The 22,751-nt window shown below is 34.9% G+C and overlaps 1 long non-coding RNA gene across 2 annotated transcripts in view; it reads right to left on the reverse strand.

The window, feature by feature from the left end:
* LINC02839 (long intergenic non-protein coding RNA 2839) overlaps nucleotides 1-22,751 on the reverse strand; it is a 51,947-nt gene that overhangs the window by 27,789 nt on the left and 1,407 nt on the right. The window contains exon 2 of one of the 2 annotated variants that reach the window (NR_183481.1): nucleotides 15,403-15,507. This is a non-coding gene — a long non-coding RNA (long intergenic non-protein coding RNA 2839). Of the gene's footprint in view, nucleotides 1-15,402; nucleotides 15,587-22,751 lie in introns of both variants that reach the window. The other variant, NR_183479.1, reaches the window with a different exon arrangement.

Here is a 22,751-nt window from a genome sequence, read left to right on the forward strand (position 1 = left end):
CCACCAGATGATTGATTGCATTCCACTAAATATGATTATGTGTTCAATGAACAAAAATAGAATTATGTCTGTTTTTGGTTAACTGATCAATTAATATTTCTATTACTGTATTATAAGCTTTATGAGGGCAAAGGTTATGTCTATTGTGTATTTCTATGTCCCTTGTGGTGAATACAGTAATTATGAATAAATGTTGAATAAATGAATGAATAAATTGGAATGCAGAAATTTTGGGTTGGGTTTTCTAAATTCTTTGTGGAGTCCTCTTCATGTGATATTTTTCTTCAGGGATGTCCTCTATTCTTTGAACAGTTCTGGTGGCTAAAAAGTCAGTTCTTGCCTATAGTATAGAAAATGCCCCACTTTCCTTGGTGCCACTTTTATGACTCTGGCTGTTTTTTCCTCTAAGGTGGTGTTAGTGGAGGCTTCAATTCAGAGTTAATTAATTCATATTTTATAGATTGAGAATAAGCCTACAAGTGTTATGAAGTGGATTATTTTTAGCATTCTCTCAACTCCTGGGCTTTGTATCTCACTACTCACATCCTTATTCTAAAATCTCAGTGAAGTGACTAGTACCCTCTCTTCCTCCCACACCTGACCTACTCTCTCTGATAAACACTTCACGTTTTAGAATTATGGCTCCTTGATTTCATAATTCTCATATATTGGAATTATGGCTCCTTGATTCCCAGTGAGAGTGTGGGAAGAGGGATGCAAACCTCAGGTTTGAGCCTAAGCTTTTATAAACAGATAGAAACACAGTATGTTTACTGGGTGAATGAATGAATCAGTGGAGACCAAAATAAAGATAAATGATGCATAAGATCTTAGACAGAATTTATCAAGTAGCACTCAGGAGTGAAAGTCATACTTTCCTGAAGTTGTATATTTCTAGCTAGTTGTTTGGTTTGTGATAGATAATGAATTTCTTTTTCTTTTTAAGAAGCTAATTTCTACTCTGGATACTCAAAAAAGTATGGAATTAATTTAAAAATTACACATTGGTTTTATTTCAAATAGTCTTTAGATCTAAGAATCTGTGTTTATGTCTAACTCAAGTATGAGTGATTGTCTTCCTCTTTTCCTACTTTTCGCTATTGTAAAGTCACTCTTCACACAGTTTCTCAGTTAGATCACATTCTGAAGAGGAGAGAAAATACTTGAACTCGTCTAGAAAAAAACATACCTAATACTCAAGTATTTAGTTCACATACAAACGACATTATTTTCTAGTACAAAAATTATAGGACATTATTCAGCCTAATGATTTATTCAACAAGTATTCCTTGAATGCATATTATGTTAGGATACTATATCATGGTGTTGGATATAGAGGAGGATGTAAAGTTGAACAAGAGTTCTTTGAGAATCTTTCGTCTGGTGAAGAAGACAGATACAATTCAACTGCTATTAAACGAGCAGGGAAGTAGGATGGTTTTTTTTTCTTATTAAGAAGACCACAGACAGAAAAATGTTCATCATGAACAGAAGTAAAATTATTTCATTCGGAGGAAACAAAACACAAATAAAGTTAAAGAATATATGATTTGCCGGGTATGGTAGCTCACACCTGTAATCCCAGCACTTTGGGAGGCTGAAGTGGGTGGATGCTTGAGCTCAGGAGTTTGAGACCATCCCAGGCAACATGGTGAAACCTCATCTGTACAAAAAATACAAAAAATAGCTGGACTTGGTGGCACATGCCTGTGGTCCCAGCTACTTGGGAAGCTGAGGTGGGAGGATCCCTTGAGCCCAGGAAGCAGAGTTGCAATGAACTAAGATCATGTCAGTGCACTCCAGCCTGGGCAACAGATTGAGACCCTGTCTTTTAAAAAAAGAAAAAAAAAAGAATATATGATTTGTTTGAGAAGCAATAAGAAAGACTGAGTGGCTGGAAAGTAAAGGAGTGGGCCATGTGGGAGCAGAGTGGTTTCATTTGGAGTTTCACCAAAGATGACAGTGACAACATGAATAACAATGATAACGTGATGTGATAAAGGATTACCTACAGTAAGGGAAGACTGAAAAAGAGTGACACAGTTAATACTCGATCCAGGGCATGATAAACATTTGAGGAACAGCACTGGCCATGAAATGGAGAGGAAAGGGAAGTGTGGAATTTGTTTCTGAGATGAAACCATCTTGTGTGTGTGTTAAAGGCGACTGAGGATTTCAGGGTGGCTCCACCAGTCCTGACTTCTGGGCTGCCTGAATGCCATGATCTTTTTGGCATGATGCTTTTTCCTTTACAGTGTATATCTTACAATAATATATGGTAACTCTAGAATATTATCTAGGCATATTCACACCTAAGGGAAGGTGTGATAATTTTACCCATATTGGTAGTGATAGTGAAATTTTCAGCCTGGAAAAGATACATTTCCTTCATGAATCTCATGTATTAAGTAAAAGTTACTAGTAGTCAGTGATATTTCATGTCCTTCTTTTTCTGATAATAACTGGAAAACAAAAGTCAATTTGTTTTTAGAAATCATCAAATAAATTCTATTCACATTACAACATAGTTCTCACTGTTATGGTAGTTTCAGTTGGGCAGGATGAGCTATTCTATATTCATATGGAATTCCCTTACCAGAAGCCAAGCAGATGCTGAAGCCATGCTTGTACAGCCTTCAGAACTGTGAGCCAAATAAACCTATTTTCTTTATAAATTGCCCAGCCTTGTGTATTCCTTTATAGCAATGCAAAAAGGATTAACACAGGAATATACATATATTAGTTCATTAGTTCATTTGTTAGTTTGTTCATTTTTTAGCATCTATACTATCTCCAAAAAAACAGTTAATTAGGAGTCAGGACCTGAATTCTGTTCAGCTTCTGCTAGGAATTCTTATAAAGCTTGCCCAAGTTATCATTGTAGCTGAAGTTGTAGATAATCTATTTATATATATATGTAACTTTTTAGCCTAAACCTTACCTCCTACCTCTTCTTTCTCCAGGGTGCATATATATATGAAGAAGAGGTAGGAGGTAAAGTTCAGGCTAAAAGGTTACAAGGAACTAAATGAAAACTTAAATAAAAAGATCTTGGAATAAAGAATTCTGAGTTATATTTTTTGTATTGTCAATGATTCATTGCCTCAGGTACCCAGTTTATCTGAACACTCTGAAGAAGCTGTTGAAATACATGAGCTCTAAAATAAAGTTCTAGAAAATTTTTATTTATTTAAACAACTCTACTTAATAATAGTCTATACATATTAACATGTTTATTGAATACAGTCATCCCTCAGTATCCATGGGGCATTTGTTCCAAGACACCTATGGATATCAAAATTTGCAGATGCTCAATTCTCTTATACAAAATGATGTTACATAGTATTTATTTATAACCAATGCACATCATTCTGCATAATTTAAATAATTTCTAGATTACTTAAAATATCTAATACAATGTAAATATTATATAAATAGTTTTTATAGTATATTGTTTTTCTATTTGTATTATTTTTATTGTTGTATTGTATTTTTTTCTTTTTCAAATACTTTCAAATATTTTTGATCAGCAGTGGGTAGAATCTGCAGATACAGAATTCATAGATATGAAGGGCTGACTGTATATCTTATGGGCTAGGCAATGTGTTCATGTATTGTTTCATACGCTTTTTCAACAACTCATTAGGAATTTTGACTATCTCCACTTTACCGAAAAGAAAATTAGTTTTAGGGATTTCTAGCAAGATATTTCAAACAATAAGTGATAGAGCTGGGGTGTGTATATGTGTGCATGTGCACATGTGTTTATGGTCATATATGTATATTTATTGATTTTCTTATCCCTAGAAAAATTAATTGCCTAACACATAGATGCCCAAACAATCTTATTCAAATTAAATGATCTGAATAGTTAGAAACAGTATTGTTCTTGGACTTGTTGTGTATATGTCTGGGACTCTTGGTAGACAGCCTACATTTAGATTGTTATTTGGGACAAAGCCAGCTTTCCTGGTCCAGGATGGTGGTTTAGGGGACAGCTCAGAAATGAAGAAAAAGAAAGCAATATAATCTGACCACCTAACCAAGCACTGAGTTGTTAGAAGAATAATTATATAAATGTGAGTTTTTTTAAATCAACTATACTGTTGCCCAGCCAAATATATATTAATTCTGAGCCTCTAAATTTTATTCTTTACAGAAAACCACCACTGATCATCTTTTGTTTGTTGATTATTTTTAGTATACTAAAATTCAAATTTGGAGGCATAATTAAGTGTTTTGAATAATCAAGAGTTAAGAGTTAAAAAAAACAATAGGAAAAGTCACAGACTCTTATTTACAATTTCTCTCCCTATTTCCTATTGCTATCATGGATGTAATGTTCATGTTTTAATTATTATGCCTACTCTTCCTCCCTGTTTTTGAATGTCACTGAGATATGTATCCCCAGGTGGTATAAGAAAACATGATAATCTCTTTCCTACTACTTACTATTTTTGGAAAAAGAATAATTTTTGAATTGATTTTGTAGTAACATCTGTCACAGCTTCCAATTCAGCTCTTCTTTAGAATTCTTGTTATCTAAAGAGTTATGTAACTTTTAAATGCTTTTTCAAAGCAAAACTGGAAAGTCACACCTGTCTTTATATGTTACTTCTTACCATTAGTGTCTTTTATTTTCACATTTTTCTTCTTTTTAAGGATTTGCCTTACTTGATTTTTTTAGGCATTTTTCAGGAAGCTGCTGGAGTGCTTTTCCTACTTTTTATGTAATGGATTCCTGCTGTCAATTTTTGGTACTAGAAATAACTCCATTGTTACTATCATACGTTTTTCACAAATTTATTCCCATATCATGATTGATGTGACAATTATAAATCTGGGAACCTTGGCTTAGTGACTGGGCAATTTTTGTTCAAATATTTGTCTTTCAATTTGTCCTTAATTTCTTTGGAAATAAAAAATGCACATAATAAAGTTGCCATGAAAACCTTATGTCATTAATTGTCTTTGGATTAAATATATTGTGTATGGTTCTGGAAGGGAAAACAAAAGTCCATTGGGTGAATACTATATGTAGAAAGAGTAGATTTTTTGTGGGAATAACTCTATACAATTACAGCAGACAGAATTTTAAATGATAATCAATTTTACAACCTTAGGGATGTTTAAGAAGATATTGAATAATCTCTTGCCTAAGATGTGATAGAGGGAGGTTTATATACATGTAATTTAAGCAGAGTTGAATTAAGGAATTTAAGTAATTGAATTAAGTAATTAAGTAATTTAGGATGTATTTCTGGCTATATGTAAACATATTTGTAGTCATGTACCTATGTGTATATATACACATATTTATCTAAATTGTGTGTGTGTGTGTATATATATATATATACACATAACACACACACACACATATATATACACAAGGGTTTGGGCATAAAATGCCGAGTAGAGAGAGAAACTATGGCACTCTAATAAAAAACGAAACTGAATTGTTTGAGAGGTACTTCTGTACCCAATACAGAGTAATCCATAGATATACACTGAACACACTCTACCACCACTGACGCTCGATGAACATCACTGAGACTGAATTAATAACTAACTGATGTGGTGCTAAAGAGTAAACCAGGCAACCAACAGACTCATTGTGATTTGTGGATTCCTAGAAGTGGGAAGTGATAAAATGGAAACCCAAACACTGAGGAGGCAGGACAGAAAATATGGTTCTTCTATTGGAACAGATCGAAAGGAATCTCCTCATCGTTTCTAAGGCAATACATGTGAAGTTTCTATTGAGGTTTAGATTGAGAAGGAAATAATTTCTTTTTTATAAAAGATTTTGTCTTTCCCCAGAATGATTTTAGGAAAAGAAAAGAAGTTAGTGCACGTTCTTAGAAAACTGGAGATCAGACACAAATCTTGTATGTCTACCTAGTGATGATAGAGGGAAATGCCTGGAATGAACTAGGTTTGTACTTTAAATCTATTGCAAAATAAATGTGATGCTTAACTAGTGATATAGTACAACGTGTTCCACAAAAGACATAATTTTGGTGTTTTTGAGGATACTGCCTCTGTATGCTTATAGGTGGAAATCTGGGAGGTGTTATAGCATCACATGTATAAATTTCTATTTTTTAAATGTGTGAATGCTGGTATCCAACATGGAACTCTTGAATTAATAAAGCTAAAATAAGGAACTCTTCTGAAGTACAGAGATGCTCCTGGTTCAACTATGTAGCAGTCTGTAAAAAAGCATTTATACAGTGTACCAATTTATTTTTAAATGTGGAATCTAATAATATCCACATCTTCTGATCACTTTAACCATGAAAAAATGTTGGAAGCAAATTATAGATAAAATTAGTAAATCACAAGTTAAATGTCTCTTGCTTCTTTTTCTACCTCCTTCAGTTGATGATTGATGGATGAATCAAAAACTTGTACTAGAATAAAAATTAGAAAGTGGCTACATTGGATGAATGAGGAAAAACATCTAATTTCAACATTAAAGTATACAGAATGAACAAGTGACAATATAACCAAATTAATTTAAAAGCAGCAACAACAGAATAGGTTTATATTTTTGGTTTAGTGGGAGCTGCACTACCAACTTCTGTATTAGTATCACCATAGAAAAACTAGCATGGACACTCAACAGAAAATCTTCATTTTCCAACTGTGAAATGATTACTATTACATAACAATAGACATGAAAAAGTCTGTGCTAAGAAGCCTTGGTTAGGAGAAATAACTGGTCCTATTGTTTGAGGCCAATGCTGGGGTAAAATAAGCATTACAGCAATTGGGGTAGTGCTGCTGCTGATGGCTGTGGGCATTGTCTGTACAGAATAGAAATCTGTGCTGCCTCTCACAACATGCAAGTTTTGGCAGGACACGTTTCTTTTTTTTTTTTTTTTTTTTTTTTGAGATGGAGTCCTGCTCTGTCTCCCAGGCTGGAGTGCAGTGGTGTGATCTCAGCTCACTGCAACCTCCACCTCCCGGGTTCAAGCCATTCTCCAGTTCAGCCTTCTAGTAGCTGGGATTACAGGCATGCACCACCATGCCTGACAATTTTTTCATTTTATTTATTTATTTATTTATTGTATTTATTTATTTTTATTATTATACTTTAAGTTCTAGGGTACATGTGCACAATGTGCAGGTTTGTTACATATGTATACATGTGCCATGTTGGTGTGCTGCACCCGTTAACTCGTCATTTACATTAGGTATATCTCCTAATGCTATCCCTCCCCCTTCCCCCCACCCTACGGCAGGCCCCATTGTGTAATGTTCCCCACCCTGTGTCCAAGTATTCTCATTGTTCAATTCCCACCTCTGAGTCAGAACATGCAGTGTTTGGTTTTCTGTCTTTGCGATAGTTTGCTCAGAATGATGGTTTCCAGGTTCATCCATGTCCCTACAAAGGACATGAACTCATATTTTTATGGCTGCATAGTATTCCATGGTGTATATGTGCTACATTTTCTTAATCCAGTCTATCATTGATGGACATTTGGGTTGGTTCCAAGTATTTGCTATTGTGAGTAGTGTCACAATAAACATATGTGTGCATGTGTCTTTATAGTAGAATGATTTATAATACTTTGGGTATATACCCAGTAATGGGATGGCTGGGTCAAATGGTATTTCTAGTTCTAGATCCTTGAGGAATCGCCACACTGTCTTCCACAATGGTTGAACTAGTTTACAGTCCCACCAACAGTGTAAAAGTGTTCCTATTTCTCCAAATCCTTTCCAGCACCTGTTGTTTCCTGACTTTTTAATGATCGCCATTCTAAGTGGTGTGAGACGGTATCCCATTGCGGTTTTGATTTACATTTCTCCAATGGCCAGTGCTGATGAGCATTTTTTCATGTGTCTGTTGGCTGCATAAATGTCTTCTTTTGAAAAGTGTCTGTTCATATACTTTGCACACTTTTTGATGGGGTTGTTTGATTTTTTTCTTGTAAATTTGTTTAAGTGCTTTGTAGATTTTGGATATTAGCCCTTTGTCAGATGGGTAGATTGCAAAAATTTTCTCCCATTCTGTGGGATGCCTGTTCACTCTGGTGGTAGTTTCTTTTGCTGTGCAGAAGCTCTTATTTTAATTAGATCCCATTTGTCAATTTTGACTTTTGTTGTCATTGCTTTTGGTGTCTTAGTCACAAAGTCCTTTCCCATGCCTATGTCCTGAATGGTAATGCCTAGGTTTTCTTCTAGGGTTTTTATGGTTTTAGGTCTGACATGTAAGTCTTTAATCCATCTTGAATTAATTTTTGTATAAGGTGTAAGGAAGGGATCCAGTTTCAGCTTTCTACATATGGCTAGCCAGTTTTCCCAGCACCATTTATCAAATAGGGAATGCTTTCCTCATTTCTTGTTTCCATCAGGTTTGTCAAAGATCAGATGGTTGTAGATGTGTGGTATTATTTCTGAGGGCTCTGTTCTGTTCCATTAGTCTATATCTCTGTTTTGGTAGCAGTACCATGCTATTTTGGTTACTGCCAGGATTCTGTTGGCAATGCAGGCTCTTTTTTGGTTCCATATGAACTTTAAAGTAGTTTTTTCCAATTCTATGAAGAAAGCCATTGGTAGCTTGATGGGGATGGCACTGAATCTATAAATTACCTTTGGCAGTATGGTCACTTTCATGATATTGATTCTTCCTATCCATGAGCATGGAATGCCCTTCCATTTGCTTGTGTCCTCTTTTATTTTGTTGAGCAGTGGTTTGTAGTTCTCCTTGAAGAAGTCCTTCACATCCCTTGTAAGTTGGATTCCTAGGTATTTTATTCTCTTTGTAGCAATTGTGAATGGGAGTTCACTCATGATTTGGCTCTCTGTTTATCTGTTATTGGTGTATAGGAATGCTTGTGATTTTTACACTTGATTTTGTATCTTGAGACTGCTGAAGTTGCTTATCAGCTTAAGGAGATTTTGGGCTGAGACGATGAGGTTTTCTAAATATACAATCATGTCATCTGCAAACAGGGAAAATTTGACTTCCTCTTTTCCTAATTGAATACCTTTATTTCTTTCTCCTGCCTGATTTGCCCTGGCCAGAACTTCCAACACTATGTTGAATAGGAGTGGTTAGAGAGGGCATTCTTGTCTTGTGCCAGTTTTCAAAAGGAATGCTTCCAGTTTTTGCCCATTCAGTATGATATTGGCTGTGGGTTTGTCATAAACAGCTCTTATTATTTTGAGATATGTCCCATCCATACCTAGTTTATTGAGAATTTTTAACATTAAGCGCTGTTGAATTTTGTCAAAGGCCTTTTCTGCATCTATTGAGATAATCATGTGGTTTTTGTCTTTGGTTCTGTTTATATGATGGATTACATTTATTGATTCGAGTATGTTGAACCAGCCTTGCATCCCAGCGATGAAGCCCACTTGATCATGGTGGATAAGCTTTTGGATGTGCTGCTGGATTCAGTTTGCCAGTATTTTATTGAGGAGTTTTGCATCAATGTTAATCAGGGATATTGGTCTAAAATTCTCCTTTTTTGTATGTCTCTGCTTGGCTTTGGTATCAGGATGATGCTGGCCTCATAAAATGAGTTAGGGAGGATTCCCTCTTTTTCTATTGATTGGAATAGTTTCAGAAGGAATGGTTCCAACTCCTCTTTGTACCTTTGGTAGAATTCGGCTGTGAATCTGTCTGGTCCTGGACTTTTTTTTGGTTGTTAGGCTATTAATTATTGCCTCAATTTCAGATCCTGTTATTGGTCTATTCAGGGATTCAACTTCTTCTTGCTTTAGTCTTGGGAGGGTGTAAGTATCGAGAAATTTATCCATTTCTTCTAGATTTTCTAGTTTATTTGCATAGAGGCGTTTATAGTATTCTCTGATAGTAGTTTGTATTTCTGTGGGATTGGTGGTGACATCCCATTTATCATTTTTTATTGCATCTATTTGATTCTTCTCTCTTTTCTTCTTTATTTGTCTTGCTAGTGGTCTATCAATTTTGTTGATCTTTTCAAAAAACCAGCTCCTGGATTCATTGATTTTTTTGAGGAGTTTTTTTGTCTCTATCTCCTTCAGTTCTGCTCTGATCTTAGTTATTTATTGCCTTCTGCTAGCTTTTGAATGTGTTTGCTCTTGCTTCTCCAGTTCTTTTAATTGTAATGTTAGGGTGTCAATTTTAGATCTTCCTGCTTTCTCTTGTGGGCATTTAGTGCTATAAATTTCCCTCTACACACTGCTTTAAATGTGTCCCAGAGATTCTGGTACATTGTGTCTTTGTTCTCACTGGTTTCAAAGAACATCTTTATTTCTGCCTTCATTTTGTTATGTACCCAGTAGTCATTCAAGAGCAGGTTGTTCAGTTTCCATGCAGTAGTGTGGTTTTGAGTGAGTTTCTTAGTCCTGAGTTCTGGTTTGATTGCACTGTGGTCTGAGAGACAGTTTGTTATAATTTCTCTTCTTTTACATTTGGTGAGGAGTGCTTTACTTGCAACTATGTGGTCAATTTTGGAATATGTGCAATGTGATGCTGAGAAGAACGTAGATTCTGTTGATTTGTGGTGGAGAGTTCTGTAGATGTCTATCAGGTCTGCTTGGTGCAGAGCTGAGTTCAATTCCTGGATATCCTTGTTAACTTTCTCTCTTGTTGATCTGTCTAATGTTGACAGTGGGGTGTTAACGTCTCCCATTATTATTGTGTGGGAGTCTAAGTCCCCAATCTAGCAAGGCAGGCCAACATTCAAATTCGGGAAATACTGTGAATACCACAAAGATACTCCTCAAGCAGAGCAACTCCAAGACACATAATTGTCAGATTCGCCAAAGTTGAAATGAAGGAAAAAGTGTTAAGGGCAGACAGAGAGAAAGGTCAGTTTATCCACAAACGGAAGCCCATCAGACTAACAGCGGATCTCTCGGCAGAAACCCTACAAGCCAGAAGAGAGTGGGGGTCGATATTCAACATTCTTAAGGAAAAGAATTTTCAACCCAGAATTTCTTATCCAGCCAAACTAAGCTTCATAAGTAAAGGAGAAATAAAATCCTTTACATACAAGCAAATGCTAAGAGATTTTGTCACCACCAGGCCTGCCTTATAAGAGCTCCTGAAGGAAGCACTAAACATGGAAAGGAACAACTGGTACCAGCCACTGCAAAAACATAGCAAATTGTAAAGACAATCGATCCTAGAAAGAAACTGCATCAATTAATGAATTAATGAGCAAAATAACCAGCTAACATCATAATGACAGGATCAAATTTCACACATAACAATGTTAATCTTAAATGTAAATGGACTAAATGTCCCAATTAAAAGACACAGACTGGCAAATTGGATAAAGAATTAAGACTCATCAGTGTGCTGTATTCAGGAGACCCATCCCACGTGCAGAGACACACATAGGCTAAAAATAAAGGGATGGAGGAAGATCTACCAAGCAAATGGAAAACAAAAAAAAAGTAGGGGTTGCAATCCTAGTCTCTGGTAAAACAGACTTTAAACCAACAAGGAAATTAATACATAGTGGGTAAGCACAAGTATTGAATAAATATTGAAAGCATGTTTTACAAGTGTATCAGAGGAGAAGGCAAACAAATGTGGAAAATTCTGTAAGACCAAAAAGAGAACACAACAAATCCTGAAAAATCAGTGAGCACAGAAGCCTCTGGGTTTCTGGTCAGCTCAGAGGCTCACTTCAAGTGGGTCTTTACTCTGCAAGGAACAGGAGACAAAACCTAGGGCTCAAACACAGAAAATCATAAGATTGAAAATCTCTGAAGATTAGTCAACTTAGTAAAATGGGTAAACTAAACAAACATACATATATAAATAAGCAAATAAAAAAATTCTACCCTGCCAATAAAATGTGCTGTTTATGGCCTTTGGCTGTAGGCAGAGTGGGGAAACATTTCCTCCTTCAATCTGTTTAGATTGAAATGTAAACTGTTTCTAATGTGGCAATGAAACTGAATTTCAATAACATATATGCTGAAAACTCCAAACTTAGGACTTTATTCTAAAGTAGCTCTGATTTTTTTAGTTCACTTACGCTCTTGGGAGAGGCAAATGAAGATCATTTCTGGAATATTGCAACTTAGTGCAGGACTAAAATAATTCCCATGGATAAGTTCCAGAAAAAATTAATTCACAAAAGAATATCACAGAAACAGGAGAAAATTTTGCTATGAAGAGTAAGCAGAAATAAAAAGCAACAGATTGAGATTAGTAAATAGTATAGTTATAAAATGACTCACTAAATTAAAGAAATAAAAGAGAAAAACATCTGTAAAAATATTTTGTACAATTTAACAAGAATGATAAAATTCTGGCAAGCTAAAAATAGAAGTCAGCTTTTTAAAAAAATCTAATAACATGCATATTTACTTAGATTTACATTTAGCTCTACATGACGGCAAACTCAAGATTATTGTCTTAAATATGATAATATTTATGTTTCTTTCATAAACGAAGTCCATAAATAGGAAGTTCACAGATGCTCTAGATGCTCAGTAATCATCAGTTGTTCAGAAAGGTGCCTTCTCTCTGTATCCTCACATAGCAGTGAGAGAGAGAGAGAGCTTGGCTGTCTTCATCTTATTATAAGAATATCAATCCCACTACTGGGTCTACACCTGCATAACCTCCTTCAAATCTAATTATCTTCCAAAGGCCCCATTTCCAAATACTATCTGATATGGTTAGGCTTTGTGTCCCCACCCAAAGCTCATCTTTAATTATAATTCTCATAATCCCCACATGTCAAAGACCAGGTGGAGGGGGTGGTTTTCCCCCATGCTGTCCTCCTCCTAGTGAGTGAGTTCTCACGAGAACTGACGGTTTAAAAGTGGCACTTTCCTCTTTGCTCTCTCTCTCTCTCTCTGGCTGGAATGTAAGATATGCCTTGCTTTCCCTTCACCTTCTGCCATGATTGTAAGTTTCCGGGGGCCTCCCCAGACATGCAGAACTGTGAGTCAATTAAACCTCTTTCCTGTATAAATTACCTAGTCTCAGGCAGTTCTTTAGAGCAGTATGAGAACTAATACACCATTACACTGGGAATTAAGACTTCAACATATGAATTTTGGGGAGACCCATTTAGTCCATAGCAGGAGCTATTTGTTAAACTAAAATAAATTAAATGCGGGCCTTCTATTATTATCAAATAATACAGACATTTTTATAAAACAGCATTTTAGCTCACCTAATGGAAAATAGAGAAACGTTAAAGAATACACTTTAAATAGAAACTGGATAAGGAAGGCCATTGTATCACCCCTGTTCAGTGTTGTAACAGAAATCTGAACTGTATAACAAACCATATAAATTATAAATTATGAATGAAAGCATCAAAACTACAAATGTATTAATAAGACTCTCTGTATACACAGAGAGCCCCAATGAGTTCTTGAAATGATTATTATAATTAAAGAGACAGGCAAAGTTTCTAAATATAAGAATATGCAAAAATAAAATGTATTTCTCTACATAGAAAATAGCAATTAGAAACAAAATTTAAAAACTGACACTAAAAAGGGTTTCCAAGAAATAAATACAAAAGGAAGTACAAGATCTTAATGGAAAAATTTATAGAAGTTGATAAAAAATGCAACAGAATAGCTAAACAATTCAAGAAAGATAGCCAGTTCATGATAATTCAATCCGGAATAATCCATTAATTCACGGCAATTTAAATAAAAATTTTAATAATAAATGTAAAGGAAACATAGATTGTCCAATAAAGGTATTATTTAATACTATATCAAAATTTAAGATAGATTAAAAATTAAATGTGAAGAGCAAAACTTGTAATATTTGTGAAGTAAATGTAGGTAAATCTTGCAATTAAAAGTACATTTTCTTTTTTTTGAAACGGAGTCTCGCTCTGTCGCCCAGACTGGAGTGCAGTGGCGAGCTCAGCTCACTGCAAGCTGTGCCTCCCAGGTTTGTGCCATTCTCTAGCCTGAGCCTCCGGAGTAGCTGGGACTACAGGCGCCCGCCACCACGCCTGGCTAATTTTTTGTATTTTTAGTAGAGACGGCATTTCACCTTGTTAGCCAGGATGGTCTCGATCTCCTGACCTTGTGATCCACCCGCCTCGGCCTTTCAAAGTGCTGTGATTACATGCGTGAGCAGTGCACTGTGCCCGGCCAAAAGTACATTTTTTTTTTTTTTTTAAAGAACGAAAAGTATGAACGAGAAATAAAAGGCTTTATAAACATCTTTACTTTAAAATTGAGGTTACAGCTTCATCATAAACAGTTATAGTAAAGTGAAAAGCTAAGCCTCAAGTAGATCACTTAAACACATAAAATAAATAAGACATTTCTATTTTAAACAAAAATATTTCTGAAAACTATTAACAAAAGACAAATAATCACTTGGAAAAATTGGCAAGAAACACATTTGAAAGAGGAAATGAATGGCTAATAAACATAAGACACCCCACCTAATTTGTAAACAGGAAACTACTAATTAAAATCAATAAGATTATCATTTTAAACCTATCAGCTTAGCAAAATTTTAAGTCGGCTAATTCCAAGTATTGGTCAGGATGTAAGCTAATGCTCCTATCTGTACTTGCCGTGGCATTACCTTGTATAGCTAAGCAATTTCCTTCTAAAATAACACTTCTACTCCTTTGATATGTCCTAGAGAAAGTCATTGTAACATGTGAATGAAAATATATGTATAAAAATATTAATAGCAACATTTTCCAGGACAGGATAAAACTAGACACAACCAAAAAGTCCAAAGTCAGCTGGATAAATTGTGTTATATTTGTAAGATAGAATACAAAACAGTTGTGAGAATGAATAAGTTAGTATTTCACACAATCACAAGGGTGAATTTCACAAACACAATGAAAACAGTAAGTTGCAAGAAAAACCATTTAATAGTATTCAGTTTCAATACAATTAAAATAATACTAATCATAAATATTATCTTGCAAAACATAATTATGTGTAAAGGAATGATAAAATAAAAAATTCAAGATAACATTTACTTCTGGGTTGAATGTAGGCTATGCCGTCCAGGATAAGTGCATAGAGAACTTCAAGGTTTGAGTACTCATGAATATTTTAAAGCTGAGAAGGGAGTACATTAATATTCACTTTTTATTATTATTTAATATGAATAAAATAATAACAAAAGAATAAGAAAAATGAACGCAGTAAATCTGCAAATACTGATATGTAAGGATTTAGTTTCAAAAGCAAATAACCAACTGAGAAAATATGGAATATACAAATGACATATTTGTCATGTTCATATAAATTGTTTTAGGGAATGTGACACAAAACCTTGGGATGCAGATTTTTGGTACTATTGGAATACAGAACTGGAGCTCTCTGGGAGGAAAATCATGAAATAGATAAAATAATACTAAAATTGCTTTTAGTGTAATTTTATGGTCAGGTACATATATTTTTGAATTCATTTAAAATAATAATGGTAGTTACCTGGATGATGGAATAATGAGCCATTTTATGATGTCTTTAGGTAGAGTTGAATTTTTAAAATCTTCTGAAATTGTGATTTAAAATGGTTTTCTCTAGGTAGTTCAACTGGAGAGAGTAAAAGGACTTAATTTTACATTTATACCCTTTAGGTTTTCTTTTAGTTTATTACTTTTTGCAGGAATTCCTGTTAAAAGAAAACAAATAATAGGCACTCATGCTGAGAGAAACCTGTCCTGTTGTTAATAAAATCTTTTACACTTGAGAGAAGTAAAATACCTGAACTTTCAAAAACTAAAGAAGATTTTATTCCCCAAAAGCCACGGATCCAGAGCAAAGAAAAACTATTATAGAATAAATTTGGCTGGCCACAGGCAAACAAATTGATTACATGCTTATTGGTGAACAAGTTAAAGCAATTTTTTTTTTTTTTTTTTTTGAGATAGATTCTGGGTCTGTCACTGGGCTAGAGTGCAGTGGTGCCATCTCTTCTCACTGTAACCTTCACTTCCTGGGTTCAAGTGATTTTCCTGCCTCAGCTTCCTGGGTAGCTGGGACTACAGGTGCGTGCCATCAAGCCCAGCTAATTTTTGTATTTTTAGTAGAGACTGGGTTTCACCATGTTGACCAGGATGGTCTTGATCTCTTGACCTTGTGATCTGCCCTCCTCAGTCTCCCAAAGTGCCGGGATTACAGGCATCAGCCACCGTGTCCAGCTAAAGCTATTTTCTAAATAAGATTTGGTAAATGATTGTTAGAAAAATTTAACATTAAGAAAAGTGGTTTTATGGTGAAATTCTTTAACAGACTTAATTTTTCAGATTAGTTTTATGTTTATAGCAGAATAGTGCACAGTACAGAATTTCTCATATACTCTTTGCCTTCACAGAGGCATAGCCTCCCTCATTATCAATATCTCCACCAGAGTGGTACATTTGTTACAATTTATGAACCTACATTGACACATAATTACCACCCAGATTCCAAGACCATAGTTTGCATTAGGGGGTCACTCTTGGTATTGTACATTCTATGGATCTGGACCAAAGTATAAGACAAGTATCTACCAGTATAGTATTATACAGGGTATTTCCATTGCCCTAAAAATCCTCTGTGTTCTGCCTATTCATCTGTCTTCCCCTCTAAGTCCTAACAGCTACTGATATATTTTTAGACATTTTTGCCTTTTCCAAAATGTGATATACTTGAAACCATATAGTAAGTAGCCTTTACAGACTAGTTTCTTTCAATTAGTAACATGAATTTAGGTTTCCTCCATACCTTTTCATGGCTTGATAGTTAATTTTTTTTTCTAGTGCTGAATAATAGTCCATTATCTGAATATACCTTAGTTTATCCATTCACTTACTGAAGAACATCTTGGTTCCTATCAAATCTTAGCAATTATGAATAAAGCTGTTATACAAATCCATATGCAGGCTTTTGTGTGTACATATATATTCATTTTGGGAGAAAAAAACAAGGAACGTGATTTCTGAATTGTATAATAACAGTGTGTTTGTTTATTTTATTTATTTATTTATTTTTTGAGAAATTGCCAAACTGTTTTCTGAAGTGGCTTTACCATTTTGCATTCCCACCAGCAATGAATGGTAGTTCCTATTGCTCCCCATCCTTCTCAGCATTTGATATTGTCAGTATGCTGAATTTTGGCCATTCTAAGAGATGTGTAGTGTTATCTCATTGTTGCTGTAATTTGTATTTGTATTTCTCTCGTGACATATGAAGTAGAACATCTTTTCATATTTATTTGCCATCTATATATCTTCTTTGATGAAGTGTCTGTTAAGGTCTTTGGCTCAATTTTAAAACTGCTTGTTTGTTATCTTATTGCTGAATTATAAGAATTTGTTTTGTATTTTAATAGCAATTCTTTATATGACGTCTTTTGCAAATATTTTCTTCCAATCTGTGATTTGTCTTTTCATTCTCTTGACAGTGTCTTTCATAGAGTTTATTAATTCTTTCTTTCATGGATTGTGCCTTCGATGTTATTATTTCTAAAAGTCATTGCTAAGTACAATGTCATCTATAGTTTTCCTGTGCTATTTTTCTAGGAGTTTTATGGTTTTGTGTTTCACATTTAGGTCTGGGATCTATATTGAATTAATTTTAAGGAAGTGTTTAAAATCTGGGCCTAGATTTATTTTTTGAATATGATGTCCAGTTATTTCAGCACTATTTGTTGAAAAACTATCTTTTTTTCTATTGTATTGCCTTTCCTTCTCTGTCTCTAAGATTGGTTGACTTTATTTATGTGGATCTGTCACCGGGCTCTCTCTATTCTGTTCCATTGATCTGTTTATTTTTTCACTAATGCCACATTGTCTTTTTAATTTAATTTATTTATTTATTTATTTTTTGAGATGGAGTCTCGCTCATCGCCCAGGCTGGAGTGCAGTGGCATGATCTTGGCTCACTGCAAGCTCCACCTCCCGGGTTCACACCATTGTCCTGCCTCAGCCTCCCAAGTAGCTGGGACTACAGGCGCCCACCACCATGCCCGGCTAAGTTTTTGTATATTTAGTAGAGACGGGGTTTCACCATGTTAGCCAAGATGGTCTCGATCTCCTGACCTCATGATCTGCCCACCTCGGCCTCCCAAAGTGCTGGGATTACAGGCGTGAGCCACTGCGCCCGGCCCACACTGTCTTTATTATTGTTGCTTCATAGTAAGTTTTGAAGAAAGGTAATGTAAGTCTTCCAACTTTGTTCTTCAATACAGTGTTGGATATCCTGCCTCTTTTACTTCTCTATGTAAACTTCAGAATTAACTGGTCAATATCCACAAAGTAACTTGCTGAGGTTTGGACTGGAACTACATCAGATCTATAGATCAAGTTGGGAAAAACAAGCATCTTGACAATATTGATCTTTCCTGTTCATTAATATGGGACATCTCTCCATTTATTGAATTCTTCTTTGGTTTCTTTTATGAGAATTTTGTAGTTTTCCTTACACAGATCTTGTACATATTTTGTTAGATTTACACCTAAGTATTTATTTTTGGGGTGCTAATGCAAATAATATTGTGTTTGTAATTTCAAATTTTACTTGTTCATTGCTGGTATATAAGAAAGCATTTGACTTTTGTATATTAACCTTGTATTCTAAACAACTTGCTATAATTAAGCAATTAGTTCCTGGAGATTTTTTTTTGTCGATTCTTTTGGCTTTTCTACATAGATAATCATGTCACCTGTGAATAAAGACGGTTTCATTTTATACTTACCCATCTGTATACCTTTTGTTTATTTTTTTGTCTTATTTTATTAGCTAGAATTGTCAGTGATGCTGAAGAGCAGTGGTGACAGGGGACTTTCTTGCCTTTATTTTAGTAGGGAATCTTTGAGTTTCTCACCATTAAATATGATGTTAGTGTAGGTTTGTTGTAGATACTCTTTAAGGGAAGAAGCCTCCCTGTATTCCTAGTTTAGTGGGGAAGTGGTTTTAAAAAAAATCAAAGTCAAATGATTCTACTTCCAGAGGAAAATCTCCTTGACCACTTGGCCCAATGCATATTATCTTATGAAAATGCAAGGGCACAGAGCCTGAAAAGGCTGGAGTAGCACCTGGAAAATATCTCTAATCTTCCTCATCAAAATTCCAGAGGTTTTGTCCTTCTTTCCTTCACTAAGTCATAGTTATACATCCCATTACTTATTTCAGTAAAATGCCCCATTTTTTCCGATAAATAACATTTTTTTATTTCATTTAGAAACAGGTGATCTCTCTCTTTTAGTCAAAAGAAACATGCCCAATTCTCAAAGCAGTATCATATTCTTTCAGAAATAGCTTTGTTGATGTATTATTCACATACTATCCAATTCACCCATTTAAATTGTACAATTCAGTGATTTTGAGTTTGTCACAGGGCTGTGTAAAAATTACCCCAATCTGATTTTAAAATATTTTTGTGTCCCCTAAAAGAAACTCCATTAGCACTCATTATTCCACACTTACTCAAGCCCTATGCAACTATTAATCTTTTACTTCTATATATTTGCATATTCTGACTGGATCTCTTTGCTTTTAATAGTTGTACATTGTTGCCATAACTTTATCACAAATTTAGTAGCTTAAAACAATTTTTATCTTACAGTTCTTTAGGTAACACATCTGAGATGGAGTCTCATTGGGAAAGATCAAGGGCTGTGTTCCTTTCTGTAGGCTTTAGGGGAGAAGAAGTTCCTTTCCATTTTCCAGCTTCTAGGGGATGTCCACACCTGCTGATGGTTCTCTTACTCCATCTTTGAAGCCAGTCTTGGCAGATCAAGTTCTTTTTACATTGCATCCCTATGACTTTTCTTCCATCATCACACTGATGTCTAAATGATTTCAACTCAAGAAATGGTCTCTACATTTCAAGATTCATCTTAGATCTGAGTAATCCAGGATAATCTTGTCTGAAGATTTTTTATTTTAATCACACTTGCAAAATCTCTTTATCCATGTAAAGTAAGGTATTCTCAGGTTCTAGGGATCAAGATGTGGACATTTTGGAAGGAGTATTATTCTGCTAGTTATATTTTTAAAAACCTTTTCAATTTTATACACATTGATTTTTGCAATTAATTCTTAAATTAGTCAAGGGGACAAAGGTGAAGAAATATGCAGTTATAGTGTCCTTTATAATTACTTACATAATTACCTTTACTGATACTCTTTTTCTTAATACATCTAGATCTGAATTACTATCTGTTGCTGAGTGCTTTCAGCCTGAGGAACTACATTTAGTATTTCCTGTAAGGAAGGTCTGTTAGCAACCAATTCTCTCAGTTGTTGATTATTTGGGAATATCTTTTTCTCACCTTCATTTTTGAAAGATATTTTGCTGAATGTAAGATTCTTGACAGCCATTTTTTTTCTGCACTTTGAATATGTCATCCAACTGCCTTTGGTATCTATTGTTTTTGATAAGAAGTCCAAAGTTAATCTTACTACAGTTCCCTTGTACATAAGTAATTTTTCTCTTGCGGCTTCCAAGATTTTCTCTTTCTCTTTGTCTTTCAACATTTCAATTATAAGGTGTCTCTCTCTAGATTTCTTTGAATTTATCCTACTTGAAGTTCATTGAGTTTCTTTAATGTGTACTATAATATTTCCAATAATTTGGAAAGTTTTCAGCCATTATTTCTTCAAATTTTTTTTCCTGTTGTTTTGTATTCCCATTACTACATTGGTGTATTTAATAGTGTTCCTTATTTCTCTCAGAGTGTGTTCATTTTTCTTTATTTTCTTCTCTTTCCTTCAGATTTCATCATCTCCATGTATCTCTCTTCAAATTTATTTATGCTTCCTTCCACCAGTTCACATCTGCTTTTCAGCCCCGCTAGTGAAGTTTTCATTTCACTTGTACTTTTCAACTCCAGAATTTTCTTTTATTTTCAATAATTTATATCTCTTCATTAGCATTCTGTATTTGATAACGTGTTGTCTTTAAATATCTTTTAAATTCTTTAAACATGGTTTCCTTTAGTTCTTTGGACATATTTATGATAGACAATTTGAAATTTTTGTCTCCTAAGCCTACCACCTAATTTTCTGTAAAGGCAATTTTTAATGCCTGCTGCTTTTCCCCCAAGTGGGATGGGTCATATTTTCCTATTTCCTTGCATATTTCCTAATGTTTTGTTGATAACTATACATTTTAGATAATATATTGGTATAACATTGTATACTGACTTTCTTAGGAGTGTTGTTTTTGTTTTTTGCATAGTCATTTATCTAGGGACTTATTTTAATAAATTCTGTAAAGCCTTTTTCCTCTGCCATGTACAGCCTCTGATGTATCTGCTAGAATTGTTAATTTTTTCCTTTTTGCTTATCTTTTATCCTGGCTCTCTGGGAGAAGCCTCTGGTTTGACAGCCTGTTTATTGATTAAAATTGTGTTTACGACCCCCAGTTGGTTAGAATTTTACCTATTACTCTTTTAAATACATGTGTAGCATAAAGTCTATTATATCAGTTCAGATATTTTATTTTATTTCATTTTATTTTGTCCTGTCTTCAGCTTGGAGGTTTTTCTCCCTGATTTCTTCTGGGAAGCATAGTCTTCCAGACTCTCAGATGACTGTGATATTATTTTAAATCTTGACTTCCCAGGTATATTTCCTAGATCAGAGAAGATCTTTGTTCACTCGGTATCTGGTCAGAAGTTATGTTTAAGCACTGTCATTTTTTTTTTAATTTTTAAAAATCCAAATTTAGGTAAGGAGAGACTTTTTTGACGGATTATTGCAAAGGGGAAGAAGGGACTATTGCAATACAGAGAATAAAACAACCATAGCAAACATCTTAAGGATTATGTGAAAAGAGTTATTCTTTTGTAGAGAGGAGTAAACAAGGCTAGAAAGAACAGGATGTTCAGATGTAAGAAGAAAGGGAGGCATGATGGGATAACAGATCAGAGAATGTTTTATCCTGATGTCAGTTTATTTTCAAGAGGAGAAATTTAGGAAAGGTTGCATGCCGGCTGAGGCTGAGAGTAAAATTCAGAGATCTGTAGGAAGGAGAGAAATCTAAAGTTTGCTTACAAGTATTTGGTTCTGATTGATTATGGGGACAAACAGTTCAGCAAATATATATGAGGCAAAGAATAAGAATTTAGAATGTTTGTATCTGGTCTTGTAGGTACACAAGAGGGCCATCCGTGAGTCCTATCTAAGTCACATGAGAAAGGGTACTTCTTTGCAGCAAGCCATTTCCAGAACATAAAGTGTGATGAATTTCTTTAACTACCCTCCTTTTGGTATTTATTGCTGTTTTCTAGGATCAGAAGAGCCTGGTATAATTTAACCTTGTTAGTTCCTGGTGCCATTTAGACTTCCATCCTATGCTGATGGGTCTATCTGTGGTTTGGGAAATGTTTTTAAGCCTGACTCACATTCTGTTCTGCTTGCTTCCTGAGTGGATGCAGCATAGTGCAAGGAGAAAGCCTTTCCACCCTTAGAGCTGATGATAATCACAGAGCAACCCTTCTTGGCTATCTCTTTTCTTGGTTCTTTTTATTGAACTTCTGGTTTCTCTGCAACTTTACTTGTTTCAGAGTTACTGCCTCCTTGTAATTGCTTTCCACAAAGATAGCTATTGTTTCTGGCAACACTCCCATGCATAGAGATCTCCATCCACTGTTACAAATAAAGCCAGTCCCCTCAGGCAGAGCTGAAGAACTCCTCATCCTTATTACCTGCCTTTCTACCTGGGCAGAACCATTGTGCGACTGCACCACAGTTGGGGGCAGAAATCTGTTTCTCCCAGAGTGACATCCCTAGTCTACTTACTAGTTGGCACTAGAGTGTGTAAGGGGCAGCTCTTGATTGTCTTAGCT

Source organism: Homo sapiens, chromosome 8, assembly GCF_000001405.40.
Source record: "Homo sapiens chromosome 8, GRCh38.p14 Primary Assembly".
Classification (NCBI taxonomy): Eukaryota; Metazoa; Chordata; class Mammalia; order Primates; family Hominidae; genus Homo; species Homo sapiens.